The 24,578-nt window shown below is 37.3% G+C and overlaps 1 protein-coding gene across 36 annotated transcripts in view; it reads right to left on the bottom strand.

Annotated features, from left to right (window-relative positions):
• ALG13 (ALG13 UDP-N-acetylglucosaminyltransferase subunit) overlaps nt 1–24,578 on the bottom strand; it is a 79,480-nt gene that overhangs the window by 26,338 nt on the left and 28,564 nt on the right. For 23 of the 36 annotated variants that reach the window (XM_011531031.2, NM_001257237.2, NM_001257231.2 and 20 more), the window contains 16 exons: nt 22,587–22,637; nt 21,782–21,828; nt 21,015–21,087; nt 16,385–16,466; nt 16,038–16,200; nt 14,142–14,217; nt 12,601–12,709; nt 11,455–11,519; nt 10,414–10,514; nt 9,251–9,378; nt 7,257–7,503; nt 6,867–6,980; nt 6,542–6,698; nt 6,007–6,127; nt 3,885–3,917; nt 3,732–3,787 (listed from right to left, as the gene is read on the bottom strand). In XM_011531031.2, the coding sequence (XP_011529333.1) occupies nt 3,732–3,787; nt 3,885–3,917; nt 6,007–6,127; nt 6,542–6,698; nt 6,867–6,980; nt 7,257–7,503; nt 9,251–9,378; nt 10,414–10,514; nt 11,455–11,519; nt 12,601–12,709; nt 14,142–14,217; nt 16,038–16,200; nt 16,385–16,466; nt 21,015–21,087; nt 21,782–21,828; nt 22,587–22,637 (1,623 nt within the window). Of the gene's footprint in view, nt 1–3,731; nt 3,788–3,884; nt 3,918–6,006; nt 6,128–6,541; nt 6,699–6,866; nt 6,981–7,256; nt 7,504–9,250; nt 9,379–10,413; nt 10,515–11,454; nt 11,520–12,600; nt 12,710–14,141; nt 14,218–16,037; nt 16,201–16,384; nt 16,467–17,307; nt 17,360–21,014; nt 21,088–21,781; nt 21,829–22,586; nt 22,638–24,578 lie in introns of those variants that run through there. The other 13 variants (XM_047442521.1, XM_047442522.1, XM_047442525.1 and 10 more) reach the window with 8 other exon arrangements.

Raw genomic sequence — 24,578 nt, 5'->3', positions numbered from 1 at the left:
CTTCTAGAGAAACATTTATTTGAGTGTTAGACATGGAAATAAGAAGTAGAAATAAATGTTCATGATTTCTTAGAAGGCTTTGCCTGGAAATCTTTATTCAAAGAGTCCTGCGTTGGACAAAAACAAAGATAAATAGATGGGACTTAATTAAGCAAAAAAGCTTCTGCACAGCAAAAAGAAAAAACCAGCAGAGTAAACAGATAGACAACCCACAGAGTGGGAGAAAATCTTCACAATCTAGCAATCTATACATTCGACAAAGGACTAATATCCAGAATCTACAAGAAACTCAAATCAGCAAGAAAAACACAATCCCATCAAAAAGTGAGCTAAGGACATGAATAGACAATTCTCAAAAGAAGATATACAAATGGTCAACAAACATAAGAAAAAATGCTCAACGTCATTAATTATCAGGGAAATGCAAATAAGAACCATTATGTGATACCGCCTCGCTCCTGCAAGAATGGCCATAATCAAAAATATCAAAAAATAGATGTTGGCATGGATGTGGTGAAAAGGGAACGGTTTTATACTGTTGGTGGCAGTGTAAACTAGTACAACTGTGTACACTGTTTTCCACTATGGAAAACAGTGTGGAGATTCCTTAAAGAACTAAAAGTAGAACTACCATCTGATCCAGCAATCCCACTCCTGGGTATGTACCCAGAGGAAAAGAAGTCATTACACAAAACAGATACTAGCACATATATGTTTATAGCAGCAGAGTTTGCAATCGCAAGAATATGGAACCAGCCCAAATGCCCATCAATTAATCATCAAGTGGATAAAGAAAATGTGGTGCATATATACCATGGAATACTACTCAGCCATACAAAGAAACAAAATAATGGCATCTGAAGCAACTCAGATGGAATTAAAGACCGTTATTCTAAGTGAAGTAACTCAGGAATGGAAAACCAAACACTATATGTTCTCACTCATAAGTGGAAGCTAAGCTAAGGAAGCAAAGGCATAAGAATGATACAATGGACTTTGGGGACTCGGGGGAAATGGTGGGAAGGGGGTGAGGGATAAAAGACTATACATTGCTTACAGTGGTACACTGCTCAAGTGATGGGTGCACTGAAATCTCAGAAGTCATCACTAAAGAACTTATTCATTGTAACCAACCACCACCTGTTCTCCAAAAAACCTATTGAAATTAAAAATTAAAGACAAAGAGTTTTTTTTTAATGTATGCTGATAATTCTGAAGACATTTATCCTTTATTTTAGCAACAATAGAAATTTGCTATGGATTTGGTGATGGGGGCAGAGGGCTTGGAACATATGAAGAGATTGAAAGCTATTGAGGTTGTTTAAATTCAGAACAAAAAGGAACATGTGACAAGTGAAATTGAAGGAACAGAAAAAAAGTATTCTTGTCATCCCTTGTGGTAAGATTCTTACTTGGCTACTTCAAGAGGTGATATCAAAAGCACATGATATGAGAATAGTAATGGTGGCAGGAAATGGGGGAAAAAACTTTCTCTGGAAGGAGCAAAGTAAGGGAAGGAGAAAGAACAGAAAGAGAATTACGTATCAGAGTTTTCTTCTCCTTCCTAAGGTATATTGTCTAAACAGTAAAAACAAAAATTTAGTACATGAAGCTGCCACAGTTTAGTCATAATTAGAGAATATAAGGTAGTTATTCAAGTTCTTCATAAATATTCCAGATTTCCTGAATAGATGGTAGGATTGCCCTTCCCAGCTCCATCCAAAGTCAAGAATGACCATGTTACTTGGTCAATAAAATATGACCAGAAATGTCAGTGTTCAATTTCTGTATCTTTTGCCCTGCTGTGATGATCATGATGGCATGTGTCCATCAGCCTGGGTCCCTGGGTGACTATGAAGAACAGTCATAGTCTGGCAGCCTGCTGCCAACTCGCATTGAACTATATAACATTAGCAAGAACAACTTTTCCTGAGTTAAGCCACTGAGATTTTGGGGGGTTGTTAACTGCAGCATAACCTAGCTTGACTAAAACAGAAATTGGTAACTAGAAGTAGGGTACGGCTATAACAAAATCCTAATTGAGAAGGAGATTATGAACATGTAGCTCTTAGGGTAAGCAATTTAGAAGACATGATGTTAGTATTGTGCTTTGATAACTGTTGGCATTGTCTAAAGCAAGTTATTTTAAGACAGGTGTATGTAGGAGAGAATTAGTAGTTTGCAGGCAGGAATGAAAGGGAATAGATTCCTTGCATACAGGGACTCACAGGGTTGAAGGAACAACTGTTTCAACCCTAAACTATAAAAGGTAATATTGATGAATGGTTTGAACAACGACAAACAGTGAAAACTCGACCTCGCAGCAAGAATGAACTCTTTGGTTAAAACCCGAGTGTATTAAGATGTCTCAAAGCTAGAGTTCAACTAAGGATGTAACACCTAGTAAATCCTTGCACTTCAACAAAATGGCTTGTAGAAAAATGTCCAAAATGCATGGCTCTTCCATCAGTGCCTGATAAACTCAAGCCACTTGCAATCAAATAGACAGAAATATAAGGATAAAACCACAAAGAATTATAGCAAATCTTAGTAGTATATCTATAGAAAAGAACTGTAGTATGGCTATTGGTACATGAAACCAAAAGAAATCAAACAGAAGCAGAATAAATTAATCTTACAGCCAAAGAAATCACGAGCCAGAACTAAAACCATTCAACTGAGATAAAACCACCCTTGGGCCTCCAATCTTCTGTAAGTAGCAAGCTTAGAAAGCTGCTCGGTTGCCAAGGAAGGATTATTCTCCAATGCCTACTCCAAACACTGCCAAGGAAGGATGGGCCTTGGGAGTAACCAAGAGCCCCAGAAAATGAACGAGAGTTCCTCCAGGGAAGAGTCCCATGAGTATGTTGGGGGCCCTTACAACGTCTGCCCATGAAGGTCTCAGAATTGCTACAGGCCAATAACTGTTTTTTTCTCCCTTTATGAATAGAAATTTCAGTCCCTGCTTCAGCACTGTAAACTGGGGAGGGAGGGGGAAAAAATAAAACCTCTGTATTTTTGGTTTTAAGTCTCAAGATCACAAGAAGCTACATCTGGACCCAATATAACAAGTACTACACATAGCCCAGAAATCCTAGGCTTTGAGTTTGATTACACTGAATGGGACATTTTAGGATGCCTCCTTTGAGACAGAAACAAGTATTCTGCCTATGAGAGGGAGGGCAAGTTGAATGATATAGTTCTTAGCGCTGTTAACATGTTTCTTTTTGCCTTCCAGCACAGAAAAGTTAAGACTCTTCAGTGGGACCTGCTCTGGCCAGTGAAATGGAAAAGAAAGTGACATGTATCACCTCTAGTGGAAACTCTAAGAGCCAGTGCACCATTTACCGAATTTTATTTCCTGCCTTGGCAATTGTGGATGAATTTCCATCAGCCTAAGTACCTGAGCAAGCCCTTCTACAGACCTCTACTAGACATGTAGCATAAAGGAGAAGCAAACTTTTGTTATATTGAGTGAGATGTATCATCCATTCTAATAAAAAAATCATAATAAAACCTTCTAAAAGATCATTACTGCCTATGTTAGAATATCTCTAAATATATTAGTTCCAGAACACGAGTTAATTTCTGTCTCAATTTCATCTTCAAAATGAGAATGATACTAAGCCTCACAGGGTTGTTCTGATTTAAATACATTTATATGTATAGCTCTTAACAGTGCCCTAGTACATAGTAGGAGCTATAACTCTTTGCTATTATTAAATACCTACCAAGTTTGCTGTAGATGCAGTTGTGCTATAAACACCTGAAGTTTCATAGTCTGGCTCTAGAGAATATAGCCAAAGTAAAAAATGAGCATTATTTTATAGCTTGAAATTCTATAAACAATGATGAATGCCAGATCACTTCTAGATCTTACTGACCTGCACGATAAAGATATTCTTCATGATATCGCCCTGGGGAAAAAAGACAAGACAGAAGAAATGTGTTTATATAGGTCTTTTTAGCTCAGCAGAGCCAAATGGCCAGCACTTGCTTTTTCCACCAGTTTTATGGTTATATGTTCAAAACTAAAATGCATACATCCTGAAAAGTGATATGAGCTTTCACACTAGTCAACAGATATTGAAGCCACAGACTAGCTGTAAGCTGTACAAATTTCTCCTCTGAAAATCCACTTAGCTCTTAGAGGTCAGGCAGAAGTGAAAACTCAGTTGTGTCCAATTTTTCCAGTGAGGCTACAGTGTGGTGATTAAGCACATAGGCTCTGGAGTGAGGACTGCCTAGATTTGAATTCTGATTAACTACATGACTTTAGGCAAGTTATTTAATCTCTGTGCCTCAATTCTTCACTGTAAAATGGAGTAACAGTACCTAGCTCATAGGCCTTTTGAGGATGGTTAATGGAAGTGAAAGTAACTTAGCATAGTGCTTTACACATACTAAATACTCAATGGTGTCTATAAAGTATGAGTATAATCCACTGTTTCCTTAGGTGGACATTAAGGGAACATGTATGCCTCATCTGTTTTTCAATCTGTTTCATGTAAGTAATACATGTAAAATGAGTGTGTCCTCAAAGGATGGCTCAGTAGACTGAAGTACTTTTAAGATTTCTGTACCACTGAAATGCAGAGAAAGTCAATACTCAATCGGACAGTTTTCCACCAAATATAAACCCGCAGTTCTAAACTAAATTTGATTCTTAAACACACCACTTATCAAACACACACGCATGAAACTCCTCCAGATTTAAGGTGGGAGCAAAGATTTGGTTATTTCAAATATGCCACACTACCCATAGAGCTAAAAGACAAAAGGGTCATCTAAATAAGAGAGCAGACAGTAAATGTCCTTAAGCACACGCATGCACACACGTACAAAGTTTTCACAGATCATTCTTGCACTAGATTTTTTTACTCATTAAATTCCTAAAAATATCTATTTTTTTTCTACACTAGTAGAAAAAAAGAGTACAAGAAAATAAGGAACTTATTCATAAGTCAAGTCATTAGGAATGCCTGACACCTCCTTAAGCCACTCAATGCTCCACAATTGTTTCAATAGGGATATACAGTATCTTTTAAAAGTAACAAGGTAAAAATAAACACATTCCATGGTAGGAGTCAACATAAAAACTGTTAAGGCTATGTGTGTGTATACGATTCCAATTATAAAAAATGTCCAGCAGAGGCAAATCCATAAAGACAGAAAACAGACTGATGGTTGCCAAGGGCTGGGGGTTGGGGCAAATGGGGAATGGCTCCTAATGGGCACAGGATTTCTCTATTGTGGTGATAAAAATGTCCTAGTATTAATTGTGTTGATGGTATGCAACTCTGAATAAAAAACCATTGAATTGTATTCTTTAAATAGCTGAATTGTATGATATGTAAATTATATCTCAATAAAAGTTACAAAAAATTATATCTCTGCCATTTACCAAGGATATGACCTTAGCCATGTCATTTACCCTCTGAATCTCAATTTCCTCATATGTAAAATAGGGACAGCACATTCCTCAGAAGAGCACACGAAGGACTATATTATGAATATAATGACTTAGTAGAGTGGGTATCACGTAGGGTTCAATAAAGAGTAATGTTTATAGATCAAATAGACTTCATAGTATGAAGTAACTATCGAATAGTTACTTCATAGTAGTCTTAAAAAATAATAGCCAGTCACACGAAAAGCCTAACATATACAAATGGTGAGGACAACTATCAATAGTGCCCTACTAACAACGAATAGATGTTTTCCATACTGATATCTGACACCAAGTCAAAACTCACTAAAGACCTATGCAGAGAGCTGAAAACAAGTTATAACAATGTAGCAGCCTAATGAAATAGAAGTCTACTCTTCTGAGAAATACCAGGACATATTCAAAAACCCAGCAAGCATTAAGAACTTATATAAATCTTTCAGAACTAAGCTACTGGAACAGAGAGAGACGCCAAAACCAAATTGGTCTACTTCACTGGCCTGATGTGCTAATGCCACAAGAATCTTTTAAAAAATATTTAACTGTAATTGACTCACCATTTTCACTCTGGCCATTGCCCTCCTCTAAATTCAAAGTCTGTTTGCCTGAGCTATGTCCCCGCCTTCCAACACAGTATCCTGAAGTAGCAGGAACCATTGTAGAGGGACCTCCATGATTCTGTATCAGAGAGACACACACACACTGCAGTTCTCACTATATAGTCAGAAAAAAAAGCTAGAGGGATGTTTTAAAAGGCAGTTTAAAAACTAGCCTAACAATGTGAACTGCTATTGTAAGAGAACTCTGTAATTAAATGTTTTCCATGCAGTTTAGAATACAAAAAATATGAAGTAAAAATCAAGAAAATAGAAAATATTAACCCATACTCTATAGGCAAGATTATCAAGTCTACCTCTATTCCCTTCTCTAGGAACAGCTGGGAGAAAATGTCTCTTTTCTCATTTTCATTTTCCAGAAAAGGCTTTGTTTGGTTATTTGTACAAAATCTAAAATTTATCCACATTGCCTTTACTTCAAAAAAATAAATGAAAAAAGTAAACAGCTTTTTGAGTAAAGCATTGATCCACTCACAGGTAAAGTTGGATAAGCAGTCTCATCCCCTTCTTCAACTTCATAAAAAGTAATAGTTTCTTCCAAGCCCCTGGGCATCTGTCCATTCCCTGGGGTAAATCCATACTGGGACTCCTTATTCACACAACTCATCTGGCGGTGACTACGTCTAAATGAACTTAAGTGGTTCAAATAATAAAAAAGTAAAAATGATGAAATATAGTAACTTGTTCCTAATTTCTAAATAACAGTTCAAATATCTCAAAGTTGACACTTTTTAAAACATTAATGTTCAGCAATGAAATCAGACTTACCAATTTTCTCTGACTTTCAACACAATACTTACCGAGATCTATAAGAGAAGTTATCATAGCTCTGGCAGCACCTTTTACCTGGGCCTGGGTAAAAATCAACTTTAGGGCCCGGCATGTTGTGCCTGTTTATAAACCGAGATGAATTCCTAAGAATAAAGAGAAAGGAAACTAGAACTCTCTATTCACTAATACCTAAGTAGTCAGTCTCTGTAGTTAAATAGAACTAATCTGTCTTTCTAAAAACATTCAACTAGAAAGAGCTCTGCTCTCTGCAATACTGGCATTAGGGCTAACTATTATTAATGAAATACAGTCTGTATGTCACAGAGACCCTCATCTTGATGGCATTCTATCTTCTTGGATCTCTTCAATTGCTTCATATTTCCCTAGACCATGAAAATACAAATCTGTCAATGTCTTACCTGGGCATCCCATATCCCCGACCTTGTCTCGGAGATGGATGCTGAGGATGAAAATGTTCATTAGACATAACATTGCCAGCTGTCTGTGAGTAGTGCATTGGAGGATCGTGCCCATAATGCATACTGTGCTGCAGCCTGGGTGGGAGGAGGGGGTCTCCCTTGCCGTAAGCCATAGTCATGTAAACTTCTTTCCCTCGAATTTTCTTGAACATCTTCTTCTGTTGCTTTATGTCCATCTCTGATATAACTTTCAGGCAAACAAAGAGGTAGCAAATAAGCTTCATAATCAAAGCAAAAGGCCCAGTGTACTGTCACCACCACACTGCCTTAAACTTTCCAATGCTTCCCCTAGGAACAAACCAAATAAACATAGGGAGGGAATTTTTGTATTTTTGAAGGATATACTAGATCTTTTATTTGGAAGGACAAAACCAGCAGGTAATTTCTGTATCAATGGGTATATCTCGGCACTATCCCCAGCATGGGCAGGTTAGTATAGGTCATCAAAACACTGAGTCATCCATGGCCAGGCACGGTGGCTCACGCCTGTAATCCCAGCACTTTGGAAGGCCGAGGTGGGTGGATCACTTGAGGTCAGGAGTTCAAGGACAGCCTAGTTAACATGGTGAAACCGTCTCTACTGAAAATGCAAGAATTAGCCAGGCGTGGTAACGTGCGCCTGTAATCCCAGCTACTCAGAAGGCTGAGGCAGGAGAATTGCTTGAGCCCGAAAGGTGGAGGTTGCAATGAGCCAAGATCGCACAACTGCACTCCAGCCTGGGCGACAGAGTGAGACTGTCTCAAAAAAAAAAAAAAAAAAAAACAAAACACGCCTGTAATCCCAGCACTTTGGGAGGCCGAGGCGGGCAGATCACGAGGTCAGGAGATCGAGACCATCTTGGCTAACACGGTGAAACCCCATCTCTACTAAAAATACAAAAAAAATTAGCCAGGCACGGTGGCAGGAGCCTGTAGTCCCAGCTACTTGGGAGGCTGAGGCAGGAGAATGGCGTGAACCCGGGAGGTGGAGCTTACAGTGAGCCGAGATAGCGCCACTGCAGTCCGGCCTGGGCCAAAGAGCGAGATTCTGTCTCAAACAAACAAACAAACAAAAACCCCAAAAACTCCGAGTCATCCAATCACACACATTACTATTCTCTAATAAATTATGCCTGTTAATATCCCTGGCTGCTTCTATGAGGTATTTTCCTAGTTCTCTAAGAAATATTTTTCCCCCTCAGGTCTCTAAGAAATATTTTTCCCCCTCAGGTTAAGATCCATGTCAGCTTAAGTTTTTTAAATTAATTTTTATAGGTGTAGAACAGTACGTATTTATGGGGTACATGCACTATTTTGATACAAGCATACAATGTATAATGATCAAATCAAGGTAACTGGGATATCTATCACCTCAAACATTTACAAATTCTTTATGTTGGGAACATTCCAAATCCAGTCCTCTAGTTTTTTTGAAATATGCAATTGTTAACTACAGTCACCCTATTATGCTACCAAATACTAGATCTTAATCCTACTACCTATTTTTGTACCCATTAACTAATCCCTCTTTATCCCCCACCCCCAATACCCTTCTGAGCCTCTGGTAACCATCATTCTACTCATCTCCACAAGATCATTTTTTTCTTTTTAGCTCTCAAATATGAGTGCTTAAGTTTACACAAAGTCCCTTAAGAACCATGGTTCTCAACCAGGGACAACTGTGCCTCTCCCTCCTCTAGGGAATATTTGGCAATGTCTGGAAACATTTTTGTTTCTAGTGGATAGAAGCCAGGGATGCTATGAAGCACCCTACAATGCACAGGACAAACCCCCGACAGTGAAGTAGTATCCATTCCATTATCAGTAATGCTAAAGTTGAGAAACCCTACCCTACAACAAGACATATGACATACATTTAAAAAATAGTACAATGCAGGTAAGTAAAAGCAGGTACAGGAAGGGAAAAACAAAATAACAACCTTTAGCATACAAACCTATTTCCGGGACATAACCCCCAGGCATTTTCTGGTAACCTCTTCCTTTCCGACTGGGCATAGCATTCCAGGCAGGAACAGACATCACTTGGGTAACTGGTTTTAAGTTAGCCAGTGGAACAACATGCCTTAAAAGTTAAAGGTATCACCATGAAGATACTGCAACACAGACTTAACTTTCATTCAATACACGTATCCCACCCCTTATACTTCAAGTGTATTCTATTAAAACCTGGTTGACACCAGTTTCCTTGTTTAATTTTTTATTAGTTTAGAAAACTTAAGAGTAGTTTGTACAATTTCACTGCTGTTTCTAGTACCGATGACATTTCAGAAGAAAGACTGTGGTAGACTGTATTAGTTCACAAATATTTGCTGTGCCTCCTTGGAGGATTAAATTTCCCCACCCCATTGACATGAGGCTTGGGAATGTAAACCACTCTGGTTAATAAAGTATGAGACATTTTAAGATTCAGCAAGTGGTTTGTTCTCATTTTATTCCCTATGATCATGGATGCACGTGTTAAAATAGAATCTCTGTTGAACCGGATCCCATTTGCTGACCCACTATGGACATGCTAAATGAAGGAGGAAGGACCTTACTGTTTTAAGCTGCTGAAATGTTTTGGTTGTTAGAGCAGCACAGCCTCATTTAATGGTTCTCAAAGTGGACCAGCAGCATTATCATCACCTGGAAACTTGTCCAAAATTAAAATTCATGGGCCCCACCTCAGACTTACTGAATCAGAAACTTTAGAGACTGGGCTCACTAATCTTGTGTTTTCACAAGCCCTCCAGGTAATTCTGGTGCATGGTAAAGTTTGAGAAAGACTAGATTAGCTTATCTTCATGCTGGCAGAGGCTCAGTTATTAATTCAACTTTGCAATTACTATGAACAGTTTTGTATCAGAATTCTGTTGTACTTAATATTTCTAATAAGTAGGCTAGTGTCTTAAGATTTGAAAACTTTTATACATATCTAATATCTATATTGATTCATACTTCAGCACATGCTTTTATAATTCAAGATAAGTCATCCTAGGCCAACAGTAGATACAATTCTGGTTCTCTTACTAGCATCCTGGTAATTCTCAATTTAATATTACGAAATGGAACCAGGAACCAAAGATTTCAGTAATTCAACAAATTATCATATTCCTACTTTTCCGCCAATTCTTCAATGAAGACTGTTACTGAATTGTTCTCATTTCCAACTTCCTGGATATGAGCATTATAATATCTTCCTTCTGATTCCAAGCAAACCTGAAAAGAGAATACTTCTAGTCTCAAGACTAGTGACAGATACAGCTAATGCCAAACAAAATACCACTTTTCCCCAAATGGAGTTCAGTGTCTACTTTTTAAAGTAATTCGTATCAACACTGCCAGTCTGGATCAATGGAGACAGCACATACTGAAAGAACCTTACATCTAATCACTAAATTTGTAATTAAAATTTAACACAGACATTAAAGAAACATTTTTTTTTTCGGCTGGGTGTGGTGGCTCATGCCTGTAATCCCAACATTGGGAGGCCAAGGTGGGAGGATCACTTGAGGCCAGGAATGAGACCAGCCTGGGCAACATAGTAAGACCCTGTTTCTATAAAAGAAAATAAAAATAGTCCAGGTGCACTGGCTCACACCTGTAATCCCAGCACTTTGGGAGGCTGAGATGGGTGGATCACGAGGTCAGGAGATCAAGACCATCCTGGCTAACACGGTGGAACCACGTCTCTACTAAAAATACAAAAAATTAGGCATGGTGGCAGGCGCCTGTAGTCCCAGCTACTTGGGAGGCTGAGGCATGAACCCGGGAGGCAGAGCTTGCAGTGAGCAGAGATCATGCCACTGCACTCCAGAGCCTGGGAGACAGAGCAAGACTCCGTCTCAAAAAAAAAATAAAAATAAATAAATAAATAAATAAAAATAAAAAAAATTAGCCAGGCATGGTGGTATGTGCCTGTAGTCCCAGCCACTAGAGAGGCTGAGGAAAGGAGGATCACTTGAGCCCAGGAGTTCGAGGCTGCAGTGAGCCAGGATCATGCCACTACACTCCAGCCTAGGCAACAGAGCTAGACCCTATCTCTTTAAAAATATAAATAAAAAGTTTCTAGTACTTTGTAAATAAGTCTTGTTCAACTCATATCATGACAAAAAGCACATTCTTAAAAAAATTACTGATTCTTGAAGAAGGAACTAACCTGACACTTGTCTCCCAAATAGTACTGTCTCCCAGCATACTCCATGTAATCAGATTTTTGAAGTTCTATTAAAAGAAAATGAAGATTCAAGCTCAACTAAACTGGTTCCTTTCCTATATCATTTAATTTCCTCATTTACTTTTACCGTAGTGCCTTTGACAACGCTACCACTATAAGTGAAAATAGGGGTAAAGTCCCAAAGGGCGATTCTATCATTCTGGATGAGTTATTTCTGCAGTCAATTTAAAAAGACGTGCCAGAATAATTTTGTGCTTTAAAAAACAAATAGGTGGAAATTGGGAGTTTGTAATCAGAGATAGTCAAACACTAACGAGGTACAATTTGAAAGTAACATTATTCAGCTTCTCAAATCAACCTATTATTTTTTTAACAACTTACTGTGTTTCCCAAGGTCTTAACCTCATTCTAGATTGTTAACTACAGCTAGGTTTACCAGGGTTCAAGGAGTTGAATGTGAAATACTAAAGGCTTATCTTGAAGGCAAAACTTTAAGGCCTAGGTTGATCACTTTAGTTATCTTATAAGGAGAGAAACAATGACCTATTTTCAAGGGTTGGTAAACTTTTTCCATAAAGAGCCAGATAGTATTTTCAGTTTCTTGGGCCATAAGACTCTCAGAACTACTCAAACTCTGCTGTAAAATGTTATGAACACTGAAATTTGAATTATATAATTTTCATGTGTCACGATATATTATTCTTTTAATTTTTTCTGCCATTTAAGAATTAAAGACCATTCTTAGCTCATAGACCACATAAAAACAGTTGGTGTGTCAGATTTGACCCACAGGCCTAACCTACTCATTTATCAAGGAAGGTGGTCTTAACACCTGGAATTTAAGATGAGCTTGTTTTCAGTCACTAAGTTTCTTAATGCTATCTAAAAATTGTCTCCACACAGTCTTTGCAAAGTTGAAGTCCCAGGCAAACATCAGGCTTTAAAAGATCCCTCCCACTTCTAAAGCTATGTTCCCTCCTTTGGATTTAAATCATATATAAAGTAAGATAAAAAGCATCAGGCTATTTTTTATAACAGTATTTCTTATAAGAGATGTTCACCATAATTTGCAAAATTATACTCCTGGATTTGTCAGGATTCAAAAGTATCCTGTTGATATTTCTTTACCTTTTCTGCTGTCCAACCAAACATCAAATTCTACATTACGATAGATTTCTGGATCCAGGGCTTTGAGCACCTTATAGGGGAAGGGCATCTTTGATGGATTTTCTGGAGACTAAAACAAAAATAATCATGCTACAAACTCACAATCCTTAGTCTTCCTTCTATGAAGAAGGAAGAATTAAGTTTCTTCCTTCTATGAAGAAGGAAGAATTAAGTTTCTTCCTTCTATGAAGAAGGAAGAATTAAGTTTCTTCCTTCTATGAAGAAGGAAGAATTAAGTTTCTTCCTTCTATGAAGAAGGAAGAATTAAGTTTCTTCCTTCTATGAAGAAGGAAGAATTAAGTTTCTTCCTTCTATGAAGAAGGAAGAATTAAGTTTCTTCCTTCTATGAAGAAGGAAGAATTAAGTTTCTTCCTTCTATGAAGAAGGAAGAATTAAGTTTCTTCCTTCTATGAAGAAGGAAGAATTAAGTTTCTTCCTTCTATGAAGAAGGAAGAATTAAGTTTCTTCCTTCTATGAAGAAGGAAGAATTAAGTTTCTTCCTTCTATGAAGAAGGAAGAATTAAGTTTCTTCCTTCTATGAAGAAGGAAGAATTAAGTTTCTTCCTTCTATGAAGAAGGAAGAATTAAGTTTCTTCCTTCTTAAAAAAAAAAAAAACCACGTCGTTCTTTATTAAAACAAGAAATAAATCGCACAATAAATTTTGCCATATATTTTAAAAATCAGGAGACTAAAGTAGCAAAATGCAAGTAATCTAAAAGGTTTTAGATGGCAGAAGGGAAATAATGTCTAAACCTGGCAATGACTCAGGACACATCCCATATAAACCAATGCAACACAAACCAGGATTAAAAATTCAGAGCTATTCAGGAAGTGTTATCATGATATACACATGGAGGTGCAATATTTCTGTACTCTACAATCACCTGGAAATATCTGAAGGTTACTTCATTATGGTCAAATCCTGTTAAAATTTCCAAAGGAACTACCATTTTTCTTCTGCTTTCCTAGAATTTCACCATATTCAATACTATTCCAAAATTATAAGCACCTCAGGTATACACAGAGATTGCTATAATAGTATTTGACTTATTTAGCTAGCCTCAAACTGAAGGCCTATTTGATTTTAGTCCTATACGGATGGTGAAATTTCTGTTTCTCTAACTTTAAACCATGATTATCACCTAGTTTGAATAAAATAAAGATAGGCATTGTATTCCTTAATGAAAAAAACCTTAGCGTCAGAAGACTGATTACAAACTAAATATTGGGTTTGTAATATTTAACTTAAAAACATATTGCTCTTGAAATTTCTGAAGTGTTCAGTTTGTTCTGAAAAATCTAAAATTCTGTAAAAATAAGAATTCAAAGAACATTAAGTATGCATTTGAAGTTTAAAGATAGGTAAGACTTTCACAAAGGAAAATGACCAACTCCTCCCTCAACCCATATAACTAGAATATAATATCTGACTTTAACTAGTTTAAGTCATGATGCTGCAAGCCAAGACTATGAAAATTCTTTGCCTTAGAAAATATCAAACCTTTGTTTCTTCTGTTCCTTTATTGTAGCCCTCTGGTATATTTTCAGCATTGTAGCAGGCACCCCACTCTTCCATCCTAATTCAAAAGATTTAGAGCAAAGAGCTTTTTATAAATGAAGAATTTACTTATGTTAAGCCTAATGACTACACCACCACCTAGTGGTAAATTAACTCAGTTCTAAAAATAAGGCAAATGCTTTTTCATTCCAACATTTGCATTTATGCTTCGTTTTTATAAGTATGTGCTACAATATACTTAGCAGATTACCTCCTATATTTTACAACTCCTGTGAGAACACACTCTTAGGGTGATCCCTATGATCCCTGCCTCATTCATTTTACTGGTCTCTCTCTCTCCTCTGCTGCCTATAAGGAAGCAAACAGCCATATTCACCACTGCAATGTAGCAGAGCTGAGGGTTACTTCTGCCAACTGACAGCAAAAACTTGAAGCTCTCAGTCCTATAGCTCGAAGGAACTGAATGCTGCCAAGAACCATGAGTGGGGAAGTAGACTTTTCTCCAGTCAAAGCTCCAGATAAGAACTCAGTCCTGACCAACATCCTCATTACAGTCTTATGAGACACTCAGCAGAAGATCTAGCTAAGCCGTGTCCAGATTCCTAATCCACATAAATTGTGAGAAAAATGTGCTGTTTTAAGCTGGCAAGTTTGTAGTAACATTGCTACACAGCAAAACATAACTAATACACCTTGCTTTCCGACTACTGTAGTTTCCGTAAGCCTGAAGTCCTTAAGACAAGTGATCAGTGAAGAGTGAAGCAACCTTTACCCTAATACATGGTTGCCACTCCTGGCAGTCCCAAATAAGCTTTAAAAACCCTCTTCTGCCGGGTGTGGTGGCTCACGTCTGTAATCCCAGCACTTTGGGAGGCCGAGGCGGATGGATCACGAGGTCAGGAGACCAAGATCATCCTGGCTAAACCTGTGAACCCCATCTCTACTAAAAATACAAAAAATTAGCCGGGCTTGGTGACACACGCCTGTAGTCCCAGCTACTCGGGAGGCTGAGGCAGGAGAACTGCTTGAACCTGGGAGGCGGAGGTTGCAGTGAGCTGAGATCGCGCTACTGCACTCCAGCCTGGCTGACAGAGCGAGACTCCGTCTCAAAAAAAAAAAAAAAAAAAGAAAAAAAATTGTAAGCTTTAAACATCCAAGAAATAGAACTGCAAGACAAAAAACACAAGGTGACACTTACCTAGCACCAAACCTATCTGAATTTGCAGGCAGAACTAGGAATTAGGAAGAAATATAAGACATGTACTTTATTATTTCAAACCCAAAGTGTTCAACTAGAGCTGTTCAACAGTTGTTTCCTCAGAGGCACACTCACAGTGCATACCAAAGGCAGACACTAAAACACTCCCAAAACTTACACTGAGAAATTTTCTACTGGCTGGATGTGTCAACTAACCTCAGTTATTACCTAGAAAATGATGGTGCTACTTTAGAATCAGTATTTTCTCAAAGTATGATCCACAGCCTACCTACATCAGAATGCTTAGGCACACTTGTTTAAAAAACAGATTCCTGGTCCCATCCTGACCTCAAATTTTGTGACAGTAGGCCCAGGAACCTGCCTTTCTAACAAGCACTATAATTCTTATACAACTAAAGTTTGAGAATCATGTAATTAGATAGTTCTGAAGTTTCTTCTAGCAATACAAAACGGACCTGAACAAAACCCCCAAGTCTGGGCATCTCACGACACATCTCTTTGGTAAAACTCTCCCCCCATTAAAAATATATATCCTAACATATGTGTACGTGTGAATATGTAACCTAACTCATAAGCTTGCCAGGCCCCTTCCACTTTCAAATGATTATGCACAGAAGTATGAAACATAATTATCATGATATCCCCTTTCCCTTTATTACCTATTCTGATTTGAACTCTTGTAATCAGTATGGGCATCCTCGCTTCCAGTTACAGCATTATTTCTGTTCTTCTTAGAACCACTTCGAAACAATTTAATCGCAGTCTTCAACTCTTCTTCATCCACAACAAACACATCTTTATAGAGAATTTCGTACAATACAGCTGAAGAAAAAATGGTCAAAATTCCAATTGTCAAAATAAGATTTATATTAACTATGTGAAAATAGTCATAATCCTGCGTGCAAATAGGTACCAACAAGGTTTTAAAGGGGCTATTCATGGTGGGTCCCTGAGTGAAAACAAGTCATCTGAAATCACACCCACAATTTATAAAGCCTTCACATACCCTGACAAACAGCTGCACTTGACTGAAATTGTTTTGAGTACACAGAATCATAGTGACCACTACTTGAGTAGCAGAGTAGAATCTAAAGAAAAACACACAGAACAATTAAGTGAATGTTACACATCTTAAAACCATGAAATTAAGATGATAATTAACTTGAAATTGAGTCAGTAGTCAGTAACTGATAACTAACTGAATTTTTTTAAAGTGATTTTTAAAATCTAAATATAAGGAAATGCAACCTGTACCTCATAGAGATTTTCTTGGCAGTGACTTTTAAATGCCAAGATTAAAATCACTACTAAGGTTACACTGTGAGCCTCAATCACATTAATATACCAAACAAGTCCTGATTTACAAATTTGCTAAAAAAAAAAAAAAAAAAAGGAACACTTAGAAATTGAGTTATTGAACATAACAGAAAGCCTAACAGATGCCAAAAGACCCAGCTAACTTCCAAGAATGACTGGAAAAATTAGGTCAAATACCCAAATACTCCAAACTCAGACTAAGGGAGGAAAGGGATTTTATTCAATTATTTCGAAAGTTATCCATTTAACTGAATAGCAATATATCAATACACTATATAGCACCAATACTGCTAGAGAGACTTCCTCAATGAATTAAGGCACATCTCAGGCTACAAAAATGACAGTTTAACGTCTGAGCTGATTCCCTGAATCCCTAGAGGTTTTTTTTTCCCAAAACAATTCAAAGGCCATGCTTGTTAAGCAAAATTTTTTCAGTCAAAATGTTGCATGTGATGAAATTTGTTTATATAACTGTTCCAAAACCTTTCTGAATTTTTGTTGAAAAAATCTGTCTTCACCAGGTGGGATGGTGTGTGCCTATAGTCTCAGCTACTACAGCAGGAGGGTCACTTGAGCCCAGGGGTTTGAAGCTATAGTGTGCTATGATCTCACCTGTGAATAGCCACCACACTCCAGCCTAGGCAACATAGTGAGATCCCCATCTCTTAAAAAAAAAACAAAAAAAAATGTCTTATATAAGGGATATAATCCCTAGTGATTAAGGTTCTTCCATTTTGAAGGTATCAGCAACCTGAGTTACTCAAAATGATTCTGCAATCTGTGGAAAGATGTTGCCACCAAGCCTCCTTGGCAGAAAAAAAAATTATCCTAAGCATTCTTTTTTTCTGTCTTCCTACTCTTCCCTGGGCTAACTTCTCCCAATAATCCAGTTATTTGATCCCAGGTCTATTATTCTTCACTTGTCTTTTTGGAAATCACAATTCTATTTCAGTAATAATCCATTTCAAAGTACTGAAGTCAAGTGTCAAGCTTAAGTAACTCACAGTAAAGTTTAAGTTATAAGTTTCTCCCACCACAAGGGGTATTTGCATTTAAGAGTTTATTAACCCATAAGAACAGTGAGCAGATTTTGAGCAGAGAAATCCTTTGTACTTTGGGCTACAAGAACTGGGAACTCTAAGAAATATTAATAACTTAGAGGCAGTTGTTAAGGAATAAAGGAATCCAGTTAACCAGAGTGATGAATAAGCAGTTCTTATAGAAAGAAGACAGACAACTATATAATTTCTCTATTCAAGTGGCAAGAATTTCCATTTTGACTGGAAGAGGCAAAACAAGGCATGATGGCTTTCCCAACATGAAAGTAATTCATACATACTTGTGGGTGGTTGGGAGTGGGCAGATGGGATGTAATTAATGGCAGTAAACTAGTGAAAAAATGGGGTAGATCTATATTACTAAGAAGGATATTTAAAAAGAACAAGTAACAATGTTAAATATGGGCCCATTTACATTTAAAAGACAAACACAAATAAAATGATACAGAAAGATACTCACCAATACTTAATAGTTTGTTACTTTGAAGTGCATGAGAACCAATACTTGTTACTTTGAAGGGCATAAAATTGAAGAGGATGAGTGGGGACTTTCTTACTCTACATTTCAAGACTTAATTTTATTTTCTTTTTAATGTAAGTATGTACTTCTATCTAGATAGAGCAAATGAGCTGAGTGAAGATGGCTCGATTTCAGCTGAATACACTTAAGAAACTGAAGATAACTATGTAGAATGCAGAATTAAGTCAACACACAAGATGAAAGATGCCAAAGTGAATATTAGACATTTATTTCTATGAAAGTTTGTTCTAAAATATTTTTAGAAGGCTCATTAATAATGTTCACTGCCTATAATACAATCATTTTTATTTATTTATTTCTGAGATGGAGTCTTGCTCTGTCGCCCAGGCTGGAGTGCAGCGGCGCAATCTTGGCTCACTGCAACCTCCGCCTCCTGGGCTCAAGTGATTCTTCTGCCTCAGCCTCCCAAGTAGCTGGGATTACAGGCATGCGCCACCACACCCAGCTAATTTGGGTATTTTTAATAGACACGGGGTTTCACCATATTGGCCGGGCTGGTCTCAAACTCCTGACCTCAAGTGATCCACCCACCTCGACCTCCCAAAGTGCTGGGATTACAGGCATTAGCCACCACACCCGGCCTCATTTTTAAAAATTCAATCCTGATGCCAATCTTAGGAGTGTGAACTGAGATAAAGCAACAAAGTTTTAGGCAAAGCAAAGCATCACAAAATAAAAGCACCTGGCTTTTCAATATAAACACACACTCCCACTTCATAAATTCCCAAATCAGACATATATATGCACTATCCTGTACATGAAAATACCCAAGTGCTGGTAAGTATTAGCTCTGTATACATGTATGGATATTTGTAGGTTGTACACACTCAAAAGGTCTGAAATTTTTGTATTCTCATGGTTCCCAATGGGTAACGTTCCCCCTAAATTAGCTAAATAATCTCTCTGTAAGATACACAAGACATTTATAAATGGAACTGTGTAATTGTAGGAACTAAGTGGTGGGTACATGAATGTTTACTGCATGAGTCTTCATACTTCTCTCTGTATGAAAAATTTCAGAATACAATGTTGAGGAAAAACTGAACTGGGAGTTTAAAGATCCCTGGTAAAGATCCAAATTTCATCTCAAGCAATGCTATGTACAACTGCTTAGATACAAAAGTTAACACTCCTCTTCCTCAAACAATTCAGATTATGTCACACCTTTGCCTAAAAACTTTCCATTAGCATTTAGGGTCAAGTTTTCTGGTGTCTGAAATTTACTTTAAAATATATCAAAAAAGAAAGATGGACAGATGAATGGATCGAGGAATAGATATGTGATAAGAATACTAAGATGTTAACAGCAGACTCTAGGTGGTGGGTAGGTATATGGATGCTCACTGTAAAATTCTTTTAACTTTTCTGTATGTTTGAACATCATAATAAAACGTTGGGAAAAAGTTTCAAATGACTATTCTGTACAATGAAAAGACAAATTATTTGGCATGGCCTGCTCTACCTCTTACTATGTAACTCTAGACTATCTTTCCAGCATCATCCTCCTCACATCCAACTACTTAACTCCCAAAGGGTCTCTTGCTTCTATGCCTCTGTATATAGTGTTTCCTCTGAATAGACTGCTCTTCATATTTGATGGACTCTTTTATACTCCACTTAAATGTCACTACCACCATGAAGCTTTCTAAACTCCCTCAAGCAGAAAGAAGGGCTTTTTCCCTTATGCTTTTAGCACAATTTTTTTTATTATAAAACTTACCACTTTGCTGTAATTAACCCTTTGCAGGTCTGTCTTCATTGTCCCTTAAGCTCTTGGAGGGCAAGGATTTCACTGTATTCATTTTGGTGTCCCCAAAGCTCAGAAAAGAGATAATTAACGTACCCCGTTCATACTTATCTTCTAAGTTATCTCCTATTCAGTCTTCTCTATTCCTAATGCTACTTCTCCTTAGTTCAGGTATTCACCCTCGATTATCGTAACAGCATCCTAACAGTTCTCCTGGTCTCCAGTCTTGTCATGCCATCATTAGAATTGTGTCTAAATTGTGTTCCATGTTGTGAAATAAGACATATAGAACTCAAACATTGTGTAGTCTATATTTCACTAATAAAATAATCAGGATAAAGGGCTTTTCTTTTATAAACTTTTTGGAGAAGCTGTATGCTGACAAACAATTTATCTGCTGAGTATTCTCAACTAACAATCAAGTACTTTACCAGGCAGTAGTAGACACTGTCACTTCCCTCAAGAAACTTTCAGATAATGAAAGAAATACATATGAAAACAAACACAATATAATAAACACTACAATTACTTGGGAGCTGCTAAGGGAGCACAAAGTGAGAAAATGACTCCAGGGGCATTGGGAAAGTTTCAAATACAAAGACACAAAGTATGAAAAGCAGAATACCTGGAAGCATGGCATAATAAGGATGGAAGAAAATGAAGCTGGTTTGGGACCTTTCAGGATGCTGAATGCCTAGCTTCAAAGTTTGAACCTTATCCTTTTTAGTCATTGAGAAGCCAATTAGGGTTTGGGGTGGCTTTTTTCCTATCACAGAGAAATGACGATCAGGTCTGTTTAGAGGGCTAACAACACTGAGATTAACTGACTAGAGAGGAAAATGCTAGTAACAGAGAAACCTGTCATTCAGACTATGCTTTTCATTAATTAGGTTAAAAATGATTTAATATCCAGGCAAGCCAGAAGCATCATTCAACTTCTTTTATATAAGTCAACATTCACTCATCTTCTTACCTTGTCTTCATAGCCATTATCTGTGACATAAGTTGGAGGTTTTCCAGGAAAGCGATAAAGAATGAAATCCCGACTATATGGGGAAAACAAAGGTAAGTGGGAAGACATAATTTGGCATACGTAAGAGATAGTTATAGGAACAACTATTTGTGCTTTTAAGTTGCCTACCTTATTCATATAAAGTAATATAAATATCCGGTTTAATGTTTGGCTTTAAAATAACCCAAAAGGGCTAAATGATGTTAATTCAAGGTAGACAGCTAATTGCCCCTAAAGTCCTATGGATTTTTTTTTATGTATCTTAATTTGGGAGGAGAAGGGGTAAAGACAACCAATTATCAATTGTATGTATGTCTGTGAGTTGGGGGATGGTGCTCTCCTTTATTTAAAGCAGAGGTTGGCAATTTTTTTGGCAAAAGGCTAGAAAATAGGCATTTCAGCTTTTGCAGACTATATGGTTTATTCAACTTTGCTTTGGTAGCATGAAAGCAGCCACAGACAATGCGTAAGTGAATGAGCATAACTGTGTTCCAACAAAGCTTTACAGACACTGAAATCTGAATTTTATATAATTTTTCCATCCCATGAAACATTCTTCTTTTGACTTTTCAACCATTTAAAATATTTTAACACTTTTTCTTAGCTTTCTTCATTCTAGGTATCAATACATCAAATCTCAAATTTCCCCAATCCTGAAGAGACCGTTGAGATCTTATACACACATGCATGCACATACCCACTCTCAAAGAAAAGAGGATATAACTTACTTATAAATTAGAGAAAGAGCTCTTATTTCCAGCTGGCCAGCACTTTCCTAAACATAAATAGTGTATTGAGTTTTAAAAAACATTCTGTAGCTAGGAGGTAGTTTTTTCAAGCACAACAAATTTTTAGCTGCTTAGCACTGTTTTAGATGAAGAATTTGTAGAACACACTATAACCTGTTTTAAGGCTTGGAATACTGTGATAGCTACTTATTAACATAAACTTATCCTGAAAGAAGGATCTAAAGCCCTACTTAGCCATTAAGTAATAAGGACAGTTAATAGGAGAGATTTTAAAAACACAATAAAAATGGAACTAGTATAATAAAAAGGCAGTAGGGATTTAGTAAATGTGCTTTTTTAAGTCCAGAACTATGGAATTAACTTTATCACATAAAAATTATTTCTAAATAAAGCATGAATTTATGAATTTTACTCCCACATAAGAGGAAGACAACTACAAATCAGGGGAATTGTTTAATAACAAAATAATGACCTCTTGGTAAAATTCATTACCACCCTCCTCCCCCGTTAAAGTGAAAAGGCTTAAGCTTGTCCTGTTTCCAAGTAGTGTATACTCTTTTGCTAGTCTATGGTTGATGGGATTAACACACAATTATCAATATTCAACACAAAACAATTGGTCAATTGCCAGCCTCTAAACTTATGTGAGAACTATTGGATTCAACACAGCTGGCTACTAAATAAAATATTTGGGGTCTGGCTAAAATAATACAGTTGAATGAATAAATTTACATTACTATTCCAAATAACTCTGAAAAGATTAAACCCCCATATTTGATCTTACCTTGGGATCTCCCAACCGTTCCAGGTATTTCTCAAAAGATCCCTCCACATACTTCAAAAATAAAACAAACTCAACTTAACCAAATACACAGCATTACTGAAATCTGATTATATTCTACATTATCCTGCAATGCGTTTTTTGCTCAGCTCAACAATTATGGTGTAAGTATCTACTTTGCACAGCACCTCAAGAAGATTTGCACATACACAAAAGTCATGAGTGGAGAAAAGCTGGAGTATAAAAGTATCTTAGGAATTGGTCCTGGCATATCCACATACCAGTGCATTTCATCAAATGGTATGCTTTCGAGTTTCATTTGAAATGCCAATTTAAGTAATGACAATTTTCATAAATCAAGCAAGACCAGTATTTCTAAGGATTTCAAATTTGACAAAACATGCATTTACAAAATTAAACTGAGGAACTTTAAAGAGAATTTCATTAGTTTCTAAAAAGACCATGGGACAAGCGAACCTTTTAGGGGTGACGGAAACATTCTATATCTTGACTGCAGTGGTAGTTCCATGATTGCATATCATCTCCAAAACTAAAAATGGTAAACTTAAAATGACGAGTTTTATTGAATGTAAAATATGCCTCAATAAAAATGAAATTAAACTCAGGGACTGTAATAGATTTATTTCTAGTTCCATGGATACATATCACTAGACTTTTAAAAAATCATTTAAATTTTCCTTTTAAAAAGTTTTGAGATATAAATGACATACAGGCTGGGTGTTGTGGCTCACGCCTGTAATCCCAGCACTTTGGGAGGCCGAGGCAGGCAGATCATGAGGTCAGGAGATCGAGACCATCCTGGCGAACATGGTGAAACCCCATCTCTACTAAAAATACAAAAAAATTAGCCAGACATGGTGGCGGGCACCTGTAGTCCCAGCTACTTGGGAGGCTGAGGCAGGAGAATGGCATGAACCCAGGAGGCGGAGCTTACAGTGAGCCGAGATCGTGCCACTGCACTCCAGCCTGGGTGAAAGAGCAAGACTCCATCTCAAAAAATAAATAAATGACATACAATAAACTGCACAATTTAAATAGTACAAATTTTGACTTATGTATACACCCATGAAATCATCATCACAATTGAGATGGTGAATGTATCACTTCCGTAAGTACCCTTGTGCCCCTCTATAACTGACATATAACCACTGATCTGCTTTCTGTCACTACAGATTGGCTTGTATTTTTTCTAGAGTTTTATATAAGGGAAATCAAACAGTATAAACTTTGCATGGGGTCTGGTTTCTATCACTCAGTACTGAATTGAGATTCATTTACGTAGTTTTAAAATTTTACACACATCTTTGTTACTCAAAATGTTGTCCACAAACCAATAGCAAGCATTACTTCAGTTCGTTAAAAATGCAGAAATCTCCACTGCACGCAGTGGCTCACACTTGTAGTCCCAGCACTTTGGGAGGCCAAGGCGGGCAGATCACTTGAGCCCAGGAGTCTGAGACCAGTCTGGGCAACATGGCGAAACCCCATCTCTACTAAAAACACAAAAAACTTAGCCCAGTGAGGTGGCGTGTGCCTGTAGTCCCAAGTTACTTTGGAGGCTGAGGTGGGAGGATTGCTTCAGCCTCGTAGGCAGAGGCTGCAGCGAGCCGTGATCCTGCCACTGCACTCCAGCCTGGGCAACAGAGAAGACCCTGTCTCAAGGTAAGAAAAAAAAAAAAAGAAATCTCGGGCCCCAACTCAGACCTACTGAATGAAAACCTGTATTTTAACAAGATCTCCAGGTGATTTGTATGCACAGAAATACTTGAGACGCACTGCTTTACACTATGGCCTTGCATTTGAAGTAATGTTACTAATAATCCTTTCCCCAGGTGTAGAGAAGACTACAATGAACTTCAAGGTAACAAGCTTTTAAGTCAAGAAGTCTTCACATAGTTTTAAAATTCACTGAAACCAGTTGAGAAAATTAGGAGTAAAACTCGAACAGCAGGCGAATACCCACAATAAACAGAA

Source organism: Homo sapiens, chromosome X, assembly GCF_000001405.40.
Source record: "Homo sapiens chromosome X, GRCh38.p14 Primary Assembly".
Classification (NCBI taxonomy): Eukaryota; Metazoa; Chordata; class Mammalia; order Primates; family Hominidae; genus Homo; species Homo sapiens.
Note: the sequence above shows the minus strand (reverse complement) of the source record. Positions and strands in the feature narration are given on the sequence as shown.